Below are 21,830 nucleotides of genomic sequence, written 5' to 3' on the forward strand. Positions count from 1 at the left end.
TTTCCTCTGACTTAATGTGGTTGTAGCTGAGAGGGAAAGACAGTTTTAAACTAATGGTAGTAAAAGGGTAAATGAAATCAAAAGCAATTGCTTTCAATAGTTTTCTCCTTTGGGGCATTTGATTCTTTATTCTTTTCCTCAGCACTGGTTGCTTTAATTTCAGAAATAGTTTAATTCAACCTGAACTCATTTAACAAATATTTATGAGTAACTGTTGTAAACAACTAATTGACAAGAATATGTGAATAAATAAGATACTAATCTGCCCTTATAAAGGCCACGTTGTATTTGAGGAGACATACAGGTATATGAGTACTTACGGGACCAGTACTAAGCATAAAATGTAGTGAAAAGTGTTAATTCTTGGAATAATAGTGGAATCATACTTATTTGAAAGGAGGACAGTAGTAATGAGTTCAGAATCCAGGAGAGAACATGGGTAGAAATAGACTTTGGGAGTCAACAAGAAGACTGAGGAAAGTAGTAGTTAATGGTCCCTATTGTACTCCGTGAAGTAGGAGGTGAGATAATAAGCTGAAAGTAAAAGGGATTGAAAAGTACTAGAGATCTCTGTGGAGTAACAAAGGTTTAGAAGTTTCTGCAGTGGAACTGGACAAGATAATTAAGGTTAAGGAGGATACTGAGTATTGAGAGTACAGTTGAGATTTAAAATCTTAAATTTTTAATAGAGCTTTTCAACTTGTTTATCCCAGTTTTTCCAGCATAAGAAAGAGGGAATGCATGCTTCTGTGGAATTTCATGTATAGATATTTGTGTTAGAAATTACCCCAAAATTCAGAAACTAAAAATGCGTAACATTCAGCCAGATGCAGTGGCTCATGCCTGTAGTCCCAACAGTTTGGGAGGCTGAGGTGGGCAGATCACTTGAGCCCAGGAGTTCAAGACCAGCCTGGGCAGCATGGCAAAACCCTGTCTCTACAAAACATACAAAAAAAAAAAAAAATAGCCTGGCCTGGTGACATGTGCCTAAGTCCCAGCTACTCTGGAGGCTGAGGTGAGAGGATTGCTTGAGCCCAGGAGTTCAAGGCTGCAGTGAGCCATGATTGTGCCATCGTTGTGCCATTGCATTCCAGCTTTAGTGACAGGACAAGGTGCGGTCTCAAAAAAAAAAAAAAAGCCCAACATTTTTTATTGCTCATTGTTTCTCAGAGAAACCTGGGAGCAACTTACCTGGGTGGATCTGTCTCGGGTATTTCATGAGTTTGCAATGAAGCTGTCAGCCCAGGCTGCAGTCTTGTAAAGACTTGACTAGGGCTAGGGTGTCTGCGTCCAAAGTCATGCTTGAGACTCTCAGCAAGATGCCTCAGTTCCTCATCACATGACTCTCTCTAGGGCTGCTCATGGGATGGCAGCTGGCTTCCCTTAAAGCAAATGGTCTGAGAGACAGAATGGCAAAGTAGAAAGCCCCAGTGTCTTTTTTAAGTAATCTAAGAAGTGACATATCACTTTGTCTTAGTCTTCTGGTCACACAGTCCAACCCTAGTACAGTGCTGGAGGGAACTTTAAAAGGGCATGAATTTAAGAATCATTGGCAGCCCTCTTGGAGTCTAGCATGCATATATTTATACATGCATGCACACAGATGGTCCACAAAGTCTAAAGTATGTACTATCTGACCTTTTGTGGATAGTCTAGGTTAGGCGACAGATTGGTAATTAATATGTATGACCTATGTGAAGGAGGCAGTAATTGTCGTTCACCTAACGTAGATTTTTGCTGTGCAAGAATTTAGGTCTAGTAGTATGAGATCATCTTTTTTTTTTTTTTTTAAGAGAAATTGGTACTTTAGATATTTGAGGTCTTCCAAGGTTTAAATGATAGCAATAAAAACTTTTTAAAAATGTTTAATGTTCAGCTAGTATAAAGTAGTTCTTTAAAAATTTGTTTTAAAAGTGACATTTGAATCTTAAGAGTAATTGTTACAAAAAAAGAAAAAACTGGCCTGACACAGTGGCTCATGCTTGTAATCCCAGCACTTTGGGAGGCCAAGGCAGGTGAATCACGAGGTCAAGAGATCGAGACCATCCTGGCCAACATGCCAGTCTCTACAAAAAATACAAAAATTAGCTAGGCATGGTGGCGCATGCCTGTAGTCCCAGATACTCGGGAGGCTGAGGCAGGAGAATCGCTTGAACTCGGGAGGCGGAGGTTGTAGTGAGCCAAGATCGCGCCACTGCACCCCAGCCTAGGAACAGAGCGAGACTCTGTCTCAAAAAAAAAAAAAAAAAAAAACCTACCAGGCTATAGCTGAAGAGTTTGGTAAAAAGGCTTACTTAAAGTTTTTTTTTACCTTAACAAATAACAATAGTAGACTAGTATTTTTAAATAAGCTTGTTTTTAATCATGAGGGTTCTATTTTATAAATTTTAAATGTTTTAAGTCAAGTGCAATGGCACACACCTGTAGTCCCAGCTACTTGGGAGGCTGAGGTGGGAAGATCAGTTGAGCTCAGGAGTTTGAGGCCGGCCTGGTGTGAACATAGGGAGACTCTCTCTAAAATTAAAATATAAATAAATATTTTAGAAAAAAGTTTAAGCTATATACATTCATTGAATATCATGTATGTATCTCATTTTACTTGTAATTTATGTGAAAACTTGACAGATTTTTAATGCATACTGTTTTTGACAATCACAAATAAGATTTAAATCATATTTAAATTAAACATGTTGGAATACTTAATTGAATTCCACATTCACCAATTCAGCAAATATTACTTAGTATTTGTCTATTTGGCCCTATATAAGGATTTGTAAGAGTTATGTAGGATTACTTACCAAAGATTTTAACCCTTTTGAATTCAAAGTGTGAAATAATATGAAAGAGCACTAAGACAGTTTTTAGGAAGAATATACATTTTTTTTTTAAACGTTGAGCTGTCCTGATTATAACCAGTTGTGTTCATATTAAATTAAAGGGAAAGTCTTTTATTTAACTTATTCTATTTTTATATCTTTCTTTTTTTTTATGTGGGGAAGGGAAATTGACTAGTAGAGATGGCATACAGATTTTGAGGAGACAATGTGTCTTCCTTTCTGGGTCTAAAATTCTTCAAAATAACTTGAAAATGTAATGCAAATGCAAACATAATGTATGTGCAATGTTTATATGTGTACACATACACACATATGTATGTACATACATAATGAGGCATATTTACAAGGATGCTTTAAATTTCAAGCTTAGCATTTCTCTATGAAATTCAGTGTTCATTTTGGCAACACTAGTTGGTGATGAGCCTGCCACAGTATCTATGTAGAAATGACTTTTCAAAGACCAGAAATGTGTTTTGGTTTGGGATTGTGTTTTTAGCATATTGTTGCTTTGAAATCCAGGGTAAAAAATGTAACTGTTAGCACTTACATCTTTAACATTTAGCATTGTAGAACAAACCTACGCGCCAGCTGAATGTGTAAGCCAGGCCATAGACATCAATGAACCAATAGGCAATTTAAAGAAACTGCTAGAACCAAGACTACAGTGTTCTTTGGATGCTCATGAAATTTGTCTGCAAGATATCCAGGTAATTTTTATTTTTGTAAATTTCTATTGCAACATTTTAGTCTGCATAGGAATATTTTTTGTTAGCCTTTTCTTTATAGCTATAGACTTTATCTCTGTAAGAAGATTTGACCTGTATTACTGTAAAATTTAAGTGTTTAGAAATAAAAAGGTTTTTAAGCAAAGTTTTCTCCATTTAAAGTTATATTTTAAATATTTAGTACTAAAACAAATGAAACATTTGTTTTTTACTTTCACAAATATAAAACGAGAAGTTTAAATAAATTAGAATCAAAGCTTAAATATAAGTAGTAACAGTAGGAAGCCCATTGACTTTTGAAGCTGAAGTGTATTTCTAGCCAGCTTTTAACTTCTCAAACGTATCATTTAACTAAATGATTTCTACATTTCTGTTTTACCTTTATTTTCTCTAACAGTAAGTTTTGGATAAGAATTTAAATATCAACTGATAGGTCCTGGAATTTATTGTAAAAGGATTTTACCCATGGTAGTAGTATAATATGTTATGTCTGAAACATATCCCGAGTCATATTTTACAGTATGTTTTAAAGATAGGTAGTACTTTTATGTATGAAAGGTAGCAGCCTAAATAGGATTGCCCATACAGTTTTCCATGACCTTCCTTAAACATATGATTAAATACTAGAGTTTTATACTTTTTTTTTTTCTTTTTTTTGAAATGGAGTCTCGTTCTGTCACCCAGGCTTTAGTGCAGTCGTGTAGTTTCGGGTCACTGCAACCTCCACCTCCCAGGTTCAAACGATCCTCCTGCCTCAGCCTCCTGAGTAGCTGGGACTACTACAGGCCGATGCTTCCACACCTGGCTAATTTTCGTATTTTTAGTAGACACGGGGTTTTGCTGTGTTGGCCAGGCTGCTCTTGAACTCCTGATCTCAAGTGATCCGCCTGCCTTGGCCTCCCAAAGTGCTAGGATTACAGGTGTGAGCCAGCGTGCCTGGCTGAGTTTTATACTATTTTTATATTAACTTAGATTAATGTATATTGTTTCATCTTCTGGATCGTTTGATTTATTTTATTCTTTACTCCTTCCCCTGCCTGCCTTGTGATATGGGTATTCTGTATATTACAGAACTTTTTTATTAGTTTTTTAAAAATTCAAATCATCATATGCTGCTACTATTTTTAATAAGATATTGTTGTACAATAAGTTGAAGTGTTTTAACAAAATTTGTGCATTTTATTTGCCTTTTAACCATACTTTAATCTTTTCATTTCAATATAAATCTAGTAATTGGTGGTGGGTAGGGAAGATAGAGTGCCTCTAAAACTAGGGCATGTGGGAAAGTCTAGTAGTGTTACAAATTTTAGGATTTAAAGTTTTTTTCTCTTAACAATGAGAGGATGAGTTAGCTTAGTCTTTTTGGAAGACCACCTCCCATTTAATATCTGTTAATGTTAAATGTGAAATTCCTAACAGTTCCACTTCAGCAAATTATTCCTACAGAAATGCTCACTTGGGTAGGTAAAGATATATGCATGAAGATGTTCATGGCTTTGCAAAAACTGAAAACACCTCAAATGTTCCAAAAATGAGATTTGATAGAATAGAATTCGAGGTAGCCATTAAAAACTGGTGAACTTGAGCTATATGGGCAAGGTACGTTGAGTGAAAAAAATACTTACAAAACACTCTAATTCTCTCACGTAATCTTCACATCAGTCTTTGAAATCAGCATATTTTTAGTCACATTCTGCAGATGTAGAAACAGATTTAAAGAGGTTAAATAATTTGCCCAATGTGTGGCTACAAAAGGGTATACTGGAATTTGAACCCAGACCTCTGTGGCTCCAGAACTCTCTTCACTTGTTTGAGACGAAAAAACAAAAAACTTTTTTAAAGGTTTATAGTGAATATAACTCAGTGTCACTGGACTTTGCCTGGTTTTGCTCATATGTAAAATAAAGGAGAATCTGGACTTGATCTCTTAGTTGTCTTTCAGCTGTAACATTTATTGCTTTCTTTATAACACTTGACCTATCCAAAATGAAAGTATGGCCTGCAGATTACCCAGGCTCTTCCAAGTTCTCAGAAAATAATAGTTGGATAAATGGTAATATTTATAATTCATATTGTCATAGAATTCAGGGCTAGCTTTGGATCTAAGGGCATTTTGCATTACTCCTTGTCCCCCTTTCCTCCTTAAAAAGGATATGAGGACCACACTGACATGTTCTTCATGTCAATGCAAACATACATTTCAGTCAGAAGTCTTGCTGCTTATGGTAATGCTGTGGGCTGACTTGAAAGCTGAGGGAACAACAGCTAAGTTGCACTTTTTTGAAGAGTGTTAACACAAGATCAAATACCAGGCTTGAGTTTTGTCCTTGTTCTGGCTTTTAGTGAACTTGCTAATATGTTCAGTACCTGAGAGCTTATACTTTCAGAGTTACATTTGCCATAGCTTCTAATGGATAATACCAGTGTCCACCAGACAAGGAGAAAAAAACTTGACATTAAGACAATTTTTAATGAAATGTATATTAATGGATGAAACTGTCATATTTAATCTATCTGTCTACAAGGTTACAAGGTTTTTTTTTGTTTTGTTTTGTTTTTTTGGAGATGGAGTCTTGCTGTATTGCCCAGACTGAGTGCAGTGGCGCTCACTGCAACGTCCGCCTACCGGGTCTAAGCAATTTTCATGCCTCAGCCTCCCAAGTAGCTGGGATTACAGGCATGCGCCACCACTCCTAGCTAATTTTTGTATTTGTGTATAGACAGGGTTTCTCCATGTTGCCCAGGCTGGTCTCGAACTTCAGACCTCAGGTGATCCACCTGCCTTGGACTCCCAAAGTGCTGGGATTACAAGTGTGAGCCACCATGCCCAGCCGTACACAGTTTGTCTTCTCCCCTGTTCAAGTTAGATTCATAGTCATTTGTCATGTGTTTGTGCCATGACGACACCATCAGTTGAATTCTTGGGAATGCGAGTAGGACATGCAGCTTTATGACATGCAGACACAGTTATAAATTATGCAAGATGATTATAATGGAAGCCTGTCTTTAAGCTGATGACAGAAAGTGTCTGAAAGTCAGAATTAATGTTTTATCATCAATTTGCCATAGTGTGAAATGCATTCTATAAGGATATATGAAGGAAAAAACACTAATACTGAAATGATATAGAATTAGGATTCAAGATATTCATAGCTAGGTTAGGTAGTAAGGTCATAAGTGCTTTAATTTTATTAACTTTATGATGAGAGATTTAGAGTAAACCCTTATCTTCAATATGTAGCATTGATTACAAGGCAGATATGACAAGAATATGTTAATATATTTAGATAAATTATCATGACTAATTAAACACTTTTACTTATTCATGACAGATATAGCATTACCTTCTACTTTAAATACATTTCAGAATGAATAATTGCCTTTTGGAATTATTTAAAATCCCAAACTAGACTCCAGAGGTAGAGAAAACTGACATGACAAATTTGGTGGTATGCTGTCCTCAATTACTTCCTCAGTGGTGAAAATATTTTAGATTTTGGCAAAGAATTAAATATGACAAGCTAAATAATGTGTTCTTATAATTTAATTAGTATGTTCAGTAATTAAGTTCTGTTTGGTACATCCATTTATTCTAAACCAAAGGCAAGGGACTTAATCTAATGATTGCACTGAAATAATCTTACTCATTTTATCCATGGTTAGCTGGATCCAGAACGAAGTTTATTTGACCAAGGAGTAAAAACAGATGGAACTGTACAGCTTAGTGTACAGGTAATTTCTTACCAAGGTAAGTTACTTTTCATGATAGTTATTTAAAATTTTAGCTCATGTTTTTCTGATACAATTTATAAGTTTTTAGGTGTTTTCGATGGTTGTCTACATTACTTGATATGATATAATAGCCAAAATTCATGCTTTGGGTTTAGTAGTTTTATTTGACAGGGTGAAACAGATAGTACAACACATTCTACTTAGTTCAATCATAAAAGGATATATTATATGGTAGTAAATAGCAGAATCAGAGAGAGTACTGGAAGTCAGCAGGTTGCAGCTGACTTCCTAAGAGTACCTCAGCCACACTGCAGAACTGGACTGCTAAGGAAGCTGCTGCCCTGCCATGATCTGGAAAATACAACACCTGGAAGCTACCATGGTAGCTGTCACTTTAACCATGTTGCCTTTACAGTGATCCACACTAGTCAAAAAAATAGATGTCTGCTGGCTGCGGGGGCTCACGCCTGTAATCCTACCACTTTGGGAGGCTGAGGTGGGCAGATCATTTGAGGTCAAGAGTTTGAGAACAGCCTGGCCAACATGGTGCAACCCCATCTCTACTAAAAATACAGAATAAGCTGGGTGTGGTGGCACATGCCTGTAATCCCAGCTACTTGGGAGGCTAAGACAGGAAAATCACTTGAACCCAGGAAGTGGAGGTTGCAGTGAGCAGAGATTGTGTCACTACACTGCATCTTGGGCAACAAGAGGAAAACTCTGTCTCAATCAGTCAATCAATAAAAAAATAGATGTTATCTGCCTCAATGGTCCCCAACCTTTTTTGGCACCAGGGACCAGTTTCACAGAAGACAGTTTTTCCGTGGATTGGGGCAGGGGAATTCAAGCGCATTACATTATGGTGTGCTTTGTATCTATTATTACTACATTGTAGTGTATAGTGAAATAATTATACAACTCACCATAATGTAGAATCAGTGGAAGCCTTGAGTTTGTTTCCCTGCAACTAGACAGTTTCATCTGGAGGTGATGGGAGACAGTGACAGAGTATCAGGCATTAAATTCTCATAAGGAACACGCAACCTAGATACCTCGCATGTGCAGCTCACAGTAGGGTTTGTGCTCCTATGAGAATTTAATGCTACCACTGATCTGACAGGAAGTGAAGCTCAGGCGGTAATGTGAGTGAAAGGGAGCGACTGTAAATACAGATGAAACTTTATCCACTCGCCTGCCAGTCACCTCCTGTTGTGTGGTCTGTGGCCTGGGGTTTGGGGACCTCTGATCTGCCTGCTTGTCCTCTCTTAACCCTTTTCCAAATAGAAGGCTTATACCAGTGATTCTAAAGCATTGGTCACGCCTGGAACCCTAGCTGCAAAGAAATCCAACCAGTACAGTTTAGCACAGAGAGAAGAATTTGTAATAGACATAGAGTCATCCAGTCAACCTTATTCATTACAGTATTTTACTAAACTTGTATAAGTACCCAAGTTAGAAAAGAAAATTAGGAAACTGTTTTTGGTAGGTTGAATTTTAGCTTTTTAAAATTTAGAATAATTTCATCTCTGAACATATATTGTTCACAATTATGTTTCACAAACCACATTTTTCTTCAGACTCTGACAATGGTAGTTACGTACTTCTGATCCTTAATTCCCTCAGGACTGATTATTGGGAATAGGAAATAAATTAGTAGTTTTTATCTTTAAAAGCCTAGTGACCTCTTGATGCAAGTATGTTTAAGAAGAGTTCGCTTAAAGCCATTAAAGTATGAAATCTAGATGAAGGATTAGGAAATAGATTTTAACAAAAAATATTTTTGATTCTGATTGTTTTTATCATGTATATTTGAAAAATGATTCTCTTTAAACTACCTGAGAATGATAGTAGTAGTTTCTTGCAATACTGGTTTTCACAGAAGATCGAAGTTGAGTTGTGCTTTTTCTTTAAGCTGTACTTTGATTGAATTTTGATATAGATTGTAATAGATTCAGTAAGAAACAGAAGCAGTTATGTAATATGACAGTGTCTTAGAGCTGTCATTTTAGTCTGAGGTTATTTCGTAAAGGGCTAATTCCATTTTGAATAGATAAATAAAAGTATATCTTATAGAGAGTACTGCACACATAATGAAATAACTGTTTTTATGGCATAATTTCTTGGCTTAATTATAATTTAATTAGGTATAATCAAATTATAATTTAATAGTTTAAATGTGTTTTAAACTATCCAGAATTAAATCAAAATCAGAATTTTGATTTAATTCTGGATAGTTGAGGAGCCTTTGTATTAATAAATTATTTATTTTTATTTTTTATTTTTTCCATAGGAATTACAGTTCTTAACACCTTTATACTAGGAGCTTAAAATATTCAGGATTTGGGTTTTTCTTCATCTCATTTAAAATGAAATTTAGAATTTAATGGTTAATTTAATTTAGTAAATTTGGCATAATTTTTAACACATCTACTTTGTCCTTTAAAAAGAAAAACTGAGTCAGTAAATAATAATTTTAATTTGCTTAGAAGGATTTTTTAAAATTCCAAGGATAGGTAGCTGCTCATTTATACTCTGCCTAGTCTAATTTTTATTGTTTCGTATTGGTAATTTTTATTTTTATTTATCTATTTATTTTATTGTGGTAAGAACTGGTACTTCTTTTTTTCTAATGATGTTTATAGGTAGGGTTTGTGTGTGTGTCTTATTTTTTATAAAATTATTTTAAACTTGTAGAAAAGTTGCAAGACTAGTAAAAGAATTCTTGAATATCCTTCACCCAGATTCCCCAAATGTTAACTTTTACTACATTTGCTTTATTCGATGTAGTTTTTCTCTACCATTTGGGAACATATAAACTAAATTATTTTTTGGTGACTTCTGCGTTTTCATTTAGATTTACAATTTTTTTTTATCCACTGTTCAGGAATTGAACCAAAGTTAAACATCCTTGAAATTGTTAAACCTGCGGACACTGTTGAGGTTGTTATTGATCCAGATGCCCACCATGCTGAATCAGAAGCACATCTTGTTGAAGAAGCTCAAGTGATAACTCTTGATGGCACAAAACACATCACAACCATTTCAGATGAAACTTCAGAACAAGTGACAAGATGGGCTGCTGCACTGGAAGGCTATAGGAAAGAACAAGAACGCCTTGGGATACCCTATGGTAATAAAATGCATAATTCTATATTGGGTAGAATAATAGGAATTAAGCTTGACATAGAAGACACTAGGGTAAGTTATAATCTATTTTACATGTAGAGTTATTAGGATGAATGTTGATTTTCTGTATCTCTCTTTTAATTGTAACGCACATTTAAGCTCATGTGGTGGACAAATTCTGTCCTGCGTGCAGGAAATACAAAGAAGTCTAAAAAATTTCTGCTCTTAGGGTGTTGAGAGTGTAGTTGAAGAGAGAGAAGATAGATGAAAAGAGATGATTGCCATAAAAGGTAACATGTTTTTAAACTGCCAGTAACTCTTGTAGAAGTATGCTATTGGAATCTCAAAGAGATCATAGTTGCCCTGAGGGAAAGCTGAAAAGAGTTTATTATAAATAAGATACCATTGGGCAGAGAAAGACATTTAAGACAGGAAATGTTATGTGCAAAGCTTAGACCTGGGGGTATGCATGAGTAGTGAGAAAATGGAGTGGTTAAGGAGTTACTCTGTAGCATTACAGAACTGTTTTTGATTGATGAAAATGATAATTGAAAAATGAATATGGTGGCAATATATGGCATAAGTTGGAACAGGTAGAGACTAAGTGAAGGGAAAACAGGAGCATATTATTATAGTTGTGACTGGATGATAATGTCTACATTAGCCCAGACTCCAGATGATTTCTTTGGGAGTAGCAAGGAAAAAGTGGATGAAAACAGTGATAGGACTGAGCAGATTGACAGATTTTATGAGGGTAGAGAGGGAAGATACAAGTATTGATCTAACTTCTCAAGCTTCATCTTGGTGACTAAAACAGTAATAATCTTGATAAAAATTGGTTCCATCATCATTACATATTTAGTGAACACTACCGTACACCAGGCACCATGTTAAATGCTGGGCTTAATTAAGATGGTGCACTATGAAGAGCATGCTTTCAAAAGCCCAGTTGGGGAAGTAGAGAAGTCTGGTATAGGAAATGTTTTTTTCAAGAGAAGGTGGATAGCACTTGATTTTGATGTGGAAGTTTATATTCAGCTGGAGGTTAGCCAGAAAATGGTTTCAGTTATATAAGATTTGGGCTGGAGACAAAGATGTTATATGAGACTCATTCCCACTGAATTTATATTTGAAGCTATAAAAGTCTACGTAGTCCCTGATGGAAAGCGAGAAATGGAAAAGAACACACAACTAAAGGCATATACACTTGACCCTGTAAACATTTAGGGTTGGAGAAAAGGGAGACAAGAAATAACTGAAGAGACAGAAAGAAAGTAATAACTTATATGTATAGTGTCACTGAAATTGAGGGGAGAGTTTGGATGGTCAAGACTCTCAGATGCTGCTGAGAAAGTCAAAGAATGCTGACTGATATCTATTAAATTTGATGATCAGAGGATTATTCTTAAATTTAGACAGAAGTAACTAGAGTTGGCGAGACAAAACAGAATTATAAGAAATAGATATCTTAGAAATGGGGGCAGATGAGGAAGAATGCTGGGGTAACAAATAAATAATACTGATCTTCCAAGAGTTGGCGGGGACCTGAGTGTATTTGTAAATGAAACAGTATTGTCGGGTTTTTGTCCTTTTTTTATTTTTTATTTTTAGAGACAAGGTTGTACCTGGGGAGCAGGGCTGATGACAGAAAGGCTGTATTGTAGAACCACTGTTTTCCCTAGGACATTTTTTTTCTTTCTTTAAACCAAACCTAAAAGATACACAGTAAATGAGAGAGCTTACCCATGGAACTGAAAGAGAGCTATGGAACCAGACAGCTAATGTAGAATTTCAGTCTGTCCCTCCGCTGCCCAGTACTGTAGCCACTAATCACACGTCAGCACTTGAAGTGTCTCTGGTCAAAATTAAGATGGGTTGTAAATGTAAAAATACCCATTAAAAGAAAAAGTATAAAATCTTTTCTAATTTTTTATATTAATTACCAGTTGAAATAACATTTGGAACATTAAGTTAAAATAAATTCATTATTAAGATGTATTTGACCAACTTTTTAAATGTAACTATTAGAAAATTTAAAATTACATAATGGTCTGCATTGTATTTCTGTTGGACAGCCCTGATCTTGATAATTGTAGCCTTCAGTTCTGGATGTTCTTACTGCATTATTTTGATAAATACCTGTGTTCTTTTTGCTGGAACTCCTGTTGAATCTCTTGAGTTGATCTGCTGCATCTTTTTTCTTGTTTATTTTTCATCTTACCTATCTGCACTACTTTCTGCCAGATTTTCTTGTGTTTTTAATATAACCTATCTGATTTTTAATTTACAAGGGCTCTTCATTTTTGTTTGTTCCTTTCTGTAGCATTCTGATCTTATATTGCCAATATCGTGTTTTCTCCTACTTCTCTGAGTATATTGATTATATATTTTTTTTTAACTTTTAAAAAGCTTTACCGTGGTATATCTGTTTCTTGTGGATTCTGTTTTTCTTGTGGTTTTTGTTTGTGTTGTTTTTAACCTTTCCCAAGTATCTAATTATTTTTGCCCATCTTTTCATATTTAAGAATTAATCACTTTAGGCCAGGCACAGTGGCTCATGCCTGTAATCCCAGCACTTTGGGAGGCTGAGGCAGGTGGGTCACTTGAGGCCAGGAGTTTGAGACCAGCCTGGCTAACATGGTAAAACCTGTTTCTACTAAAAACACAAAAATTAGCTGGGCGTGGTGGTACATGCCTGTAATCCCAGCTACTTGGGAGGCTGAGGCACAAGAATCTCTTGAACCTGGGAGGCGGACGTTGCAGTGAGCCGAAATTGCACCAGTGCACTCCAGCCTGGGCAACAAAGTGAGACTCCATCTCGAAAGAAAAAAAATAAGAGTAAATAACTTTAAAGCTAATTAATGCGAAGTTCTGAAGGATTTGATAACTATATGCTGATAAAACGAGGCATTGACTATTTCATTAAAAGAATTTCAGGCCAGGTGTGTTGGCTCATGCCTATAATCCCAGCACGTTGGGAGGCTGAGGTGAGAGGGTTTCTTGAGGCCAGGAGTTTGAGACCAGCCTGGGCTATATAGCCAGACTGTCTCCAAAAAATAGAAAAAAGAGCTGGGCATGGTGGCATACACCAATATCCTAGGAGGCTAAGCTGGGAAAATTGCTTGAGCTCTGGAGCTTGAGGCTATAGAGAGCTTTGATGGCACCACTATACTCCAGCCTGGGTGGCAAAGCAAGACTGTCTAAAAAAAAAAAAAAAAAAAAAGGGCAAAGAAAAGAGTTTCAAACGTGTCAATATTTATAGATCTTTTTGCAGATACCTGTCAGCAGTAGAAGATAGGGGTGAGCATTTGGGGTAGGTGTGTATGTGAATACTGTGTTGTGGAACTGGAAAAGGAAGTAGAGCAGGGAGGAGGTAGAGAAGGTGGAGACGGTCTCACTCTTCAGTTTATAGGCTTTTATTACTGGGAATTGTTCTCTCAGTGTCTGTTCGTGTCTCTCCCCATCTATTAATAAATGTTTTCCCGGTGTCCACATGTGTGGGGTGCACTCATTTAACTGGCCCCCCAAATGAAAGAGAGACCCTGGAGGTTCTAACCACACCATCTACTTTAAATCTGTCTCCTTATTTTCAGCTTTAAGCCTCTTGCTACTCAGAACCACCATGACTTGAACCAGTGAAGGGGGTTCTGCAGGCAGGAATTCTCTCACTTCTTACTGGCATCCTCCTTGGCAAACATTTTAGGTCATAGTTTTCCCCTCCTATGCCAAATCGATTACCACTCTGCTTATTGTCTTCAAAACATTAGATTAAATCTTTCATCCATGCCTGTCACTTTGTACTCATGTTCCTATGATTTTGCATCTTTTAAAAATTCCTTTACTGTTGTTTTACTAGAGTCTTAGAGAAAGGAGGCAGAACATGGGTGGACAATTAGTTATGTTAAACCAGAAGTCCTGATATTTGAGAAAACAAATCAGACAAATTATATTTTTCCCTGAGTTTTTTTTATTTTTAAATTTTTATGTGAAATTAACTTTGTTTTTCTTTTAAAAGAGGTGTGTTTCAGGATAGCTTTTCTATTTAACTCTGCTTCTGTTGTTTTCAAGTAGTATAGTACTCACAGATAAGGCAACTTTCTTTTTCAGTTCTTGTCGACTTTTACCTGGGCCTTCTCCTCTTTCCTTTTCCTTGGCGTCCCTCTGCTGCTCACTTCTAGTTCCACTCTGCCAGTTTCTCCTTACTGTGGGCCATTCTCCTGAAAGTGGTTCTTGGCTCAGTTTGACAAACACCCAGGTGCTACATTGCTTCAGCCCTTTAAATCTTAACACACACTGCAGCTATTGGATTGGGCGAAACTGCTTTTTAGCGTTGCTTTCATCTTGTCCTGTTGTACTTTGAATGCATGCTTCTTGGCTGCGCTCAGGTTTTCCTATGATCAGAGTGGGTCACACTTCCCTTGCTTCCCTTTGCTTTCTCCTGCACACAAGCTAAGACCATGGAGGTCTTATAGCTGTTATTGCTTTGTCTTTACCCTCTTGTATCTTGAGGTCCATGAAGATATCTTGTCACCTGGTTTTATGTAAATGTTCGTGGGTTTTTGGTTTTGTTCTCCAGTCACTTTTTTATGTTTATGTGTACAATTCAGAAAAATTAAAAAACTTTGCCACCATCTTCCTAGAATCCTCACTTAACAACTTTATGGAAAAATTTTAAAATATATATTCTGTGGCTATTAATCCTGTATTCTTAGAATGCTTGCTTTTGCCTTTTGAGGCTAGGGCACCTCTGTTCCTTTAGTCTCAAATGGAATAGTTTCAGTTTCAATAGCACTTTGCCTCTTTGAAGAACTTTTATAAAATTCTTATGTTTGATTTATTTTCACTATAATTTGCCCTCGATACCTAAATGTTATTTTTTTTCTACTTTTCTTATTGAATAGCATTTATTTATTGGGTATATAACCAATATTATTTGAATAGATCATCTTCTTAAAGTGGGAGTACCAGAACCAAAACTAATTTAGCTAATATGTATTAAACTTACACAGATAGAATGCTCTATTAGGTGCGGGTGATACAGCAATGTAATATTTATAGATATTGGCCATATTTTTTTATTTATGAATTCAATTAGGTAGTAAATGATAGGGAAAAGGAAAATTATTTGGATATACTCTTTAAGATTAAACAAGTGTATGAGCAAGGCACTGTTAGGTTCTAAAGATAGAATGGTTTACAAGACACATTTCTTGTATTTCTTAGTGTGTTGTGAGGGGACAGCTGAGTAAAACAGGCAATTACCATGTTTATTTATTTATTGGAAATGCATCATAAGGGTAAATGCAGGAGCAGCCAGCTTTTTACAGGAAGGAAAAGGGAGGAAAAAGGATATGGTTCATAGTTTGGAGAATAAAGCTAGCTTCTTAGAATCCCCTTTTGATTTTTTTTCAATGCAACTGCAAATTTTTTTAAACTTGGATAATTTACTTTATTCTCTCCAGAATAATCTCATATTTTATTCTTTCATTTGGCCCACTGGAGAGCAGTTTTGCATTTTGTTTTTCTTGATACAGTTCCAGCTGAGGTTGAACCAAGTGACTGCATCAGAAATTTAGATTAAGAAATTGGAAAGGAGCTGAGGAAAAAATTACAGCATAATTTTTTTTTTTTTTTTTTTTTTTGCTTCATATAGTAAGTTTACCTCATATACTTGGGGAAAGAAAACATCTGTGTGTATGTGTGTGTATTGAGAAGTTAACTGTAAATTTACACAGTATCTAAAATGGAACTAGGCTAAAGTGAATATTTTTCTTTCTAGATCCCATACAGTGGTCCACAGACCAAGTCCTGCATTGGGTGGTTTGGGTAATGAAGGAATTCAGCATGACCGATATAGACCTCACCACACTCAACATTTCGGGGAGAGAATTATGTAGTCTCAACCAAGAAGATTTTTTTCAGCGGGTTCCTCGGGGAGAAATTCTCTGGAGTCATCTGGAACTTCTCCGAAAATGTATGAAATTACAGTTATTTCTTTACATTGTAATTTAAGCTTAATTTTATTTCCTTGTAACTTTGTTTTCATCTTAGTTGTTTATTGATAATGATAAGTAATAAGCAATAATAATTAACATTTATTTACTGTATAATGCTATGCTGAAAGCTCTATATGTTCTTTAATTCCTATAGTAACACCATAAGTCATTACTTTGCTTATTTTTTAGATAGGAAAGTGAGGCTTTGAGAGCCCCATAAAGTCACAGCTAGGAAGTGGCAGAGCCAGGATTCAAGCCCAGGCTAACATTAGAATCCAAGTTCTTAAATCAGATGCTGTGCCCTACACTTAGCCCTCTTCATATATTCCATTTGTTGCCTTCTGTTTGATCAGCTCTTACATTTACTGCTCATCTAGAAACGGAAGAGATCATTTGTTTACAGGTGGCTTCCTACCCATTCTCTTCATTATTGATGAGATTAAATCTTTTTTGAAGTCTTTACTATTAATTGAATAGAGTCTTAAGAGGGAAGGAAGTGTATGCAGCCACCTTTTGGCATTGGAAGCCATTGGTTATAAGTTTTTCCACTTATAACTTGTAAGGCTTCAGACATTATTATGATTAAGTGACCATGTAAAGAAATTGGATGAGGCAGGCAGATCACTTGAGGTTAGAAGTTCGAGACCAGCCTGGCCAACGTGGTGAAACCCCATCTCCACTAAAAATACAAAAAATAGGCGGACAAGGTGGTGCGTGTCTGTAGTCCTACCTACTTGGGAGGTTGAGGCGAGAGGATAGCCTGAACCTGAAAGGCGGAGGTTGCAGTGAGCTGAGACTGCGCCACTACACTCCAGCATGGTGACAGAGCAAGAGTCTCAATTGGAAAAAAAAGAGAGAGAGAAGTTTGGAAACTACTTGGCTGTCCAAGAAAACAAGGCACAAATGTAAATTATTTTTGCTTGAATTTTAATCCATCTTATATTTCAGTCACTGTTAAGACACCGAAAGCAACCCATTCCTTGACAGTTTTGCATATCAGAAATGCTAGCCAGACCCACATATTTTTCAGAACACATGACTACAACATACTCTGACTTTGCTTTTGTATCAGTTATGGATGAAAATGTTAATGATAGCATTTTGTTTTATTATATACCCAATAAGGAGAGAGCTCTGGTGGAGGGATTTTTCCACCGTAATTCAATGCTTGCAGTTTTCATTCAAGGTGCTTTCTCTGGCCAGGTGCAGTGGCTCACTCCTGTAACCCCAGCACTTTGGGAGTCTGGGGTGGGCAGATCACTTGAGATGAGGAGTTGAAAGTGCTTTCTCTGCTGGTGAATAAGAAATGAGCTCTGGAGAGAGGCATTTCTTAATTGTTTATAATTTTATTCTTGTGAGGATTCTCCCAGATGTTTTTTTTAAGTATCTATGATACTAAAAGACTTAGTACATTCATTGTATTTGCAGCATTTATTTCCAATTTCCATTCTTACTAGATAAGTAAGTTGAATGTCCTGGTTGAAGCTTTGTCCTTGGTTTCACAGATTTCCTTCCCTGCAGAGGTTTTGAAATGAATAAGGTAGATTCTGAATTGTGAAACATGTGAGTCATGTTTATTGAAACACTTTCTTATAAGAAATCTCAAGAACACAACAAAGATAGTGCATAGATGGTAGTTTCATTTTTCCCAAATCCACGTTTTTTCCAGTCTTTCCCAGGTCAGCTGTTTGTTGTGGCTGTCTCTTTCTGGTTCTCTTATTGCTTCTCAAACTTTAAAGCTTATTCATAGGCTTTTCCCAGAACAGAAGTCAAAGGTGTCTTGTGTATCTTTCCATTTCCATGCAGTTGAATGAGTCTTCCTCAGAAAAGCTCTGCTCTGGAACCATTGCTTTGTCTTTTAAAGCAACAAAGTCCCACAGCCTAGATGAGTGTCTCACGGAATTTCTTGGTGATCCAGCCATGGTTCTTCACTCTGCCGGGGTAGGGAAATCCCATCTGCTTTGGAAATCTAGTGCTCAGTTCAGAATTGGGAGATGGGCAGGATGATGTGTAAGGGTATTTCTAACAGACTTTCTAGAATTCACAAGTCTTACTTCTCAGAATAGGGTTTTTTGAGCTCAGTGTAGTTAGTACTCTGGTCCCTTCTGTAGAGAGAAGTCTGCAGCCTATCTGCGAAAGGCACTGATTCTGGGACAGAACTGTTAATAACCCAGCCTCTATTATCCATCCTCAGTGATCTCTCAAGAAGCAGCAGTACTGAAGAGGTAGGGCTCCTTCTTCAGATATTTGTATGAGATTATTCACCTGAGCCACCACCTGCCTGCAGTCCCCCCTATGTTGAAACTACATCCAAGTCCCACTATACATGGGAGGATAATTAGGAAATGTCCCAGTACTACCAGTTCCATGATGTCCTTCTCGGTGTGAATCTCTGTCTTCTGTCACCAAAGGCAAATGAAGTTCTCAGTTTGCTAAGGGTTTTATTTAGGAAAAATAATTGTTTTATTCCTGTAGTGTCTAATGTTTCTTCATAAAATGGCTCCATATCCCCCAGGGCTTTGCCTCTCAAGACTGCTTACTTTGTGTGTAGCAAGGATTTGGAGGTTTCAGGGAGGAATGTGATATTCAGAGTGCCTGTACTTTGAAGAGATTGGTCTTGGACCAGTCTTTCAAAAACTTTTTTTTTTTCCCCCTGTGGTCTGCCTTCTGTCTTGAGAGTTTCCAGGAAACAGACCAAACTCCAATCTGAGAATTAGGACTTAGAAGGTGATTTTACAAGTTGATTATGCCTGTGCTGTGTGATGGTGATGCTTTCGTTTGCCTCTTTTGAGGCTAGGTTCCTTTAGTCTCAAATAGTTCCTCTTTGAGGAACTTTTATAAAATTCTGAGGAAAATTTACTACAAACATAAAGTGCGTATTTTTTTTATCAAGAGAGACCACAGTTCTGGAGGAGAATGCTCAGAACTAGGAGTCTGGATAAAACAGTGAGGTTGTCAGTTGACTGAAAAAGTAACTGTTTTGTGCACTGTGCTTTTTAAAAACATGTTTCTTTAATCCTCACAATAACCTCATGAGGCAGTAAGTATAGGTGTCTAATTTAAACTTGAAGAAGTTAATGTTGAAAGAGGTCGGTAATTTTACCAAAGTCATATAGTCAGTAAGAGCTAAGAACTAAATCCAGATCTGTCTGAAGCCAGTCCCATATAATTCTTAAGTCCTCAGTCTTCAGACCCTCAAAGCTCCCATCTGATAGGATTCTGACCTCTTTTTACTTCCCCAACCTTTTCCAGCTCTGCGTGTCTGGAACTGGATCCTGGCAAGGCACCCTTAGCGGAGTCTTCTTGGGAGCCCAGGCCTCAGTACCCAGAATGATTGCTGGAGGGTATAGTTTCAATTTCAAGAGAGAGGCATGCAATTTGTGATGGGCACAAAGTAGGCTGAAGTAATAGAGACTGGGATGTGCAATTCTTGTGAGAGGTAAAGAATAACATCTAAGTAGGGAATAACAACAGATAAGTAATGAATGGTTCTGTAAAGCCTTATCTCAGGACCTTTATAGTATTTTTATTTTGGGAACTATATTTTTAAATGTGAAATTATTTAGTTTAATTGAGACATTTAGGACTGCTACAATTGTGTTGAAAATTTGCTGTCTTTAAGTAGAAGCATTATAAAGCTTAAGCAGCTTTAGTCAAAAGTGGATGTTATAACAAATAATGGGAAGGAGGCCTTTTTGGTGGAGATACGTACCTAAATAATTTAATTTTGGTGTATATTTTATCTTTGATCTGATCTTGAAGATTTCCATATTTTTACATGGCTTTATGTGGATTTCAATACAAATGTTTACATTTAGAAAACCATAGTTCTCTGCAGAACTTTACTGAACACTAAAAGACATTGGAGCTTTTCCCTGTGTTATTTCTCTTAAGGTATCTTTTCCTTTTAAAGTGACTATCAAATATTTTTAAGGTTTTTATGCCAGTAAGTTTCAGTTCAGTGTTTTGGTTTTAATTGTGGAGTTCTTTTTAAAAGAACCATGTTTATTAAGTTGAGTTTTATTGGATTGGGGTTTTTATATTTTTGGTTTTAAATAAAAACAAAAAATTTTTGTTTTTTTCAGATGTATTGGCAAGTCAAGAACAACAGATGAATGAAATAGTTACAATTGATCAACGTGAGTATTTGTACCTATATTTGCCCTTTTATTAATAAGAAATGTTTATTTGATACCGCAAGGTAATAAAAAGGAAAATTATTTAAAAAAATTTTTTTTCTACACACAAAATATCTTTTGTTCTGTGGAATGAAAGCTCGACACAAGTACTTTATAAGATCCACTCATGTGTTTTTAAATGATACGATTAACATAACAGCTTGCTTTGTATCTCAGTTCACCAAAATTTGTTAGGACATCATTTGTTTCATCTTTACTGACTGTTAATTACCAAGTTGTAAGAACAATTCTAACCACATTCATACCTGACAGAACTTTCATGCCTGATAATAACTGGATATTAGGTAGCATCCAATTGAAATATCAGTATAGGTTGGATACAGCAGAGAAAATATTCAAGTGTCCAAAACAAACTTGAGGAGTTACAATGGGTTTGAAATGAAGAAAAAAGGCCAAGTTAAAATAGGAAAACAAATAGTTTTCATTTGGTGGGAGTTGCAATCAAAGTATACAGTTGTATACATTCTAATGGATCATCTGTCCCATGTGGCATTTTCCAAGGCTTGAAGAGTCTACCAGGGCAAACCCTTCGCCGCCTCCACTACTTTTGCTTGGCTTTTCCCCTTTCTTTTCTCTCGCTTTGCCTTCAGCTTTATTCTTTACCTTTGATTCATCTATATTGGGTACTGTACTTGCTAGAAGTACAGTCTAGAAGAGTCTTTTTGTTTCTCTTAATATCCATCTCCATTTTCATGTCATCTTTTCCATCTTTTACCTCATGTTGCATTTTCTCTTGGCATGTTTGGGTTTGGGTACCACCACAGTTGCTGTCTCTTAAACATCTTTCATTAAAACATTACTGTCTAGTTTGAGAATACTTTTAAGCCTGCTGAGCTCTTTTGGGGCATTTTTCCCCCCTTTTCAGCATGCATCTTTCTTTTCCGCTTATGCCATAAGCTTTTAGCTATGTTTTACCTGAGGTACGAACACACACGTCACAAGATCATCCCAACCGGCTAAAATTTTTAATGAGGAATTTGAGATACACAAAGAAAGTATAACTAACACCTGTGTACATCATTAGAAATAAAATTTTTTACACCAAGTATACCTGTTGTAGGTTTCATTTTCCTCTCTCCTACCAGAGAACTATCTTGAATTTTATGTTTATTACTGTCTGCATATTTTATATTTTTACCAACTATGTAATCGTAAACACTGTATAGCATTGTTTTCCACATGTTTAAACATTGTTTGTAAAATAATACATTGTAC

At 36.3% G+C, this 21,830-nt stretch overlaps 1 protein-coding gene and 1 pseudogene across 8 annotated transcripts in view; one reads left to right on the forward strand and one right to left on the reverse strand.

The window, feature by feature from the left end:
* The window catches only part of GABPA (GA binding protein transcription factor subunit alpha), a 37,489-nt gene that overhangs the window by 6,839 nt on the left and 8,820 nt on the right, over nucleotides 1-21,830 (forward strand). For all 8 annotated transcript variants that reach the window (XM_017028313.3, NM_002040.4, XM_047440738.1 and 5 more), the window contains 5 exons: nucleotides 3,400-3,544; nucleotides 7,226-7,310; nucleotides 10,179-10,424; nucleotides 16,200-16,394; nucleotides 20,502-20,555. In XM_017028313.3, coding sequence (XP_016883802.1) covers nucleotides 3,400-3,544; nucleotides 7,226-7,310; nucleotides 10,179-10,424; nucleotides 16,200-16,394; nucleotides 20,502-20,555 — 725 coding nt within the window. The remainder of the gene's footprint in view (nucleotides 1-3,399; nucleotides 3,545-7,225; nucleotides 7,311-10,178; nucleotides 10,425-16,199; nucleotides 16,395-20,501; nucleotides 20,556-21,830) is intronic.
* On the reverse strand, nucleotides 20,829-21,571 carry LLPHP2 (LLPH pseudogene 2; annotated as a pseudogene).

This window comes from Homo sapiens, chromosome 21 (genome assembly GCF_000001405.40).
Source record: "Homo sapiens chromosome 21, GRCh38.p14 Primary Assembly".
NCBI classification, from domain to species: domain Eukaryota; kingdom Metazoa; phylum Chordata; class Mammalia; order Primates; family Hominidae; genus Homo; species Homo sapiens.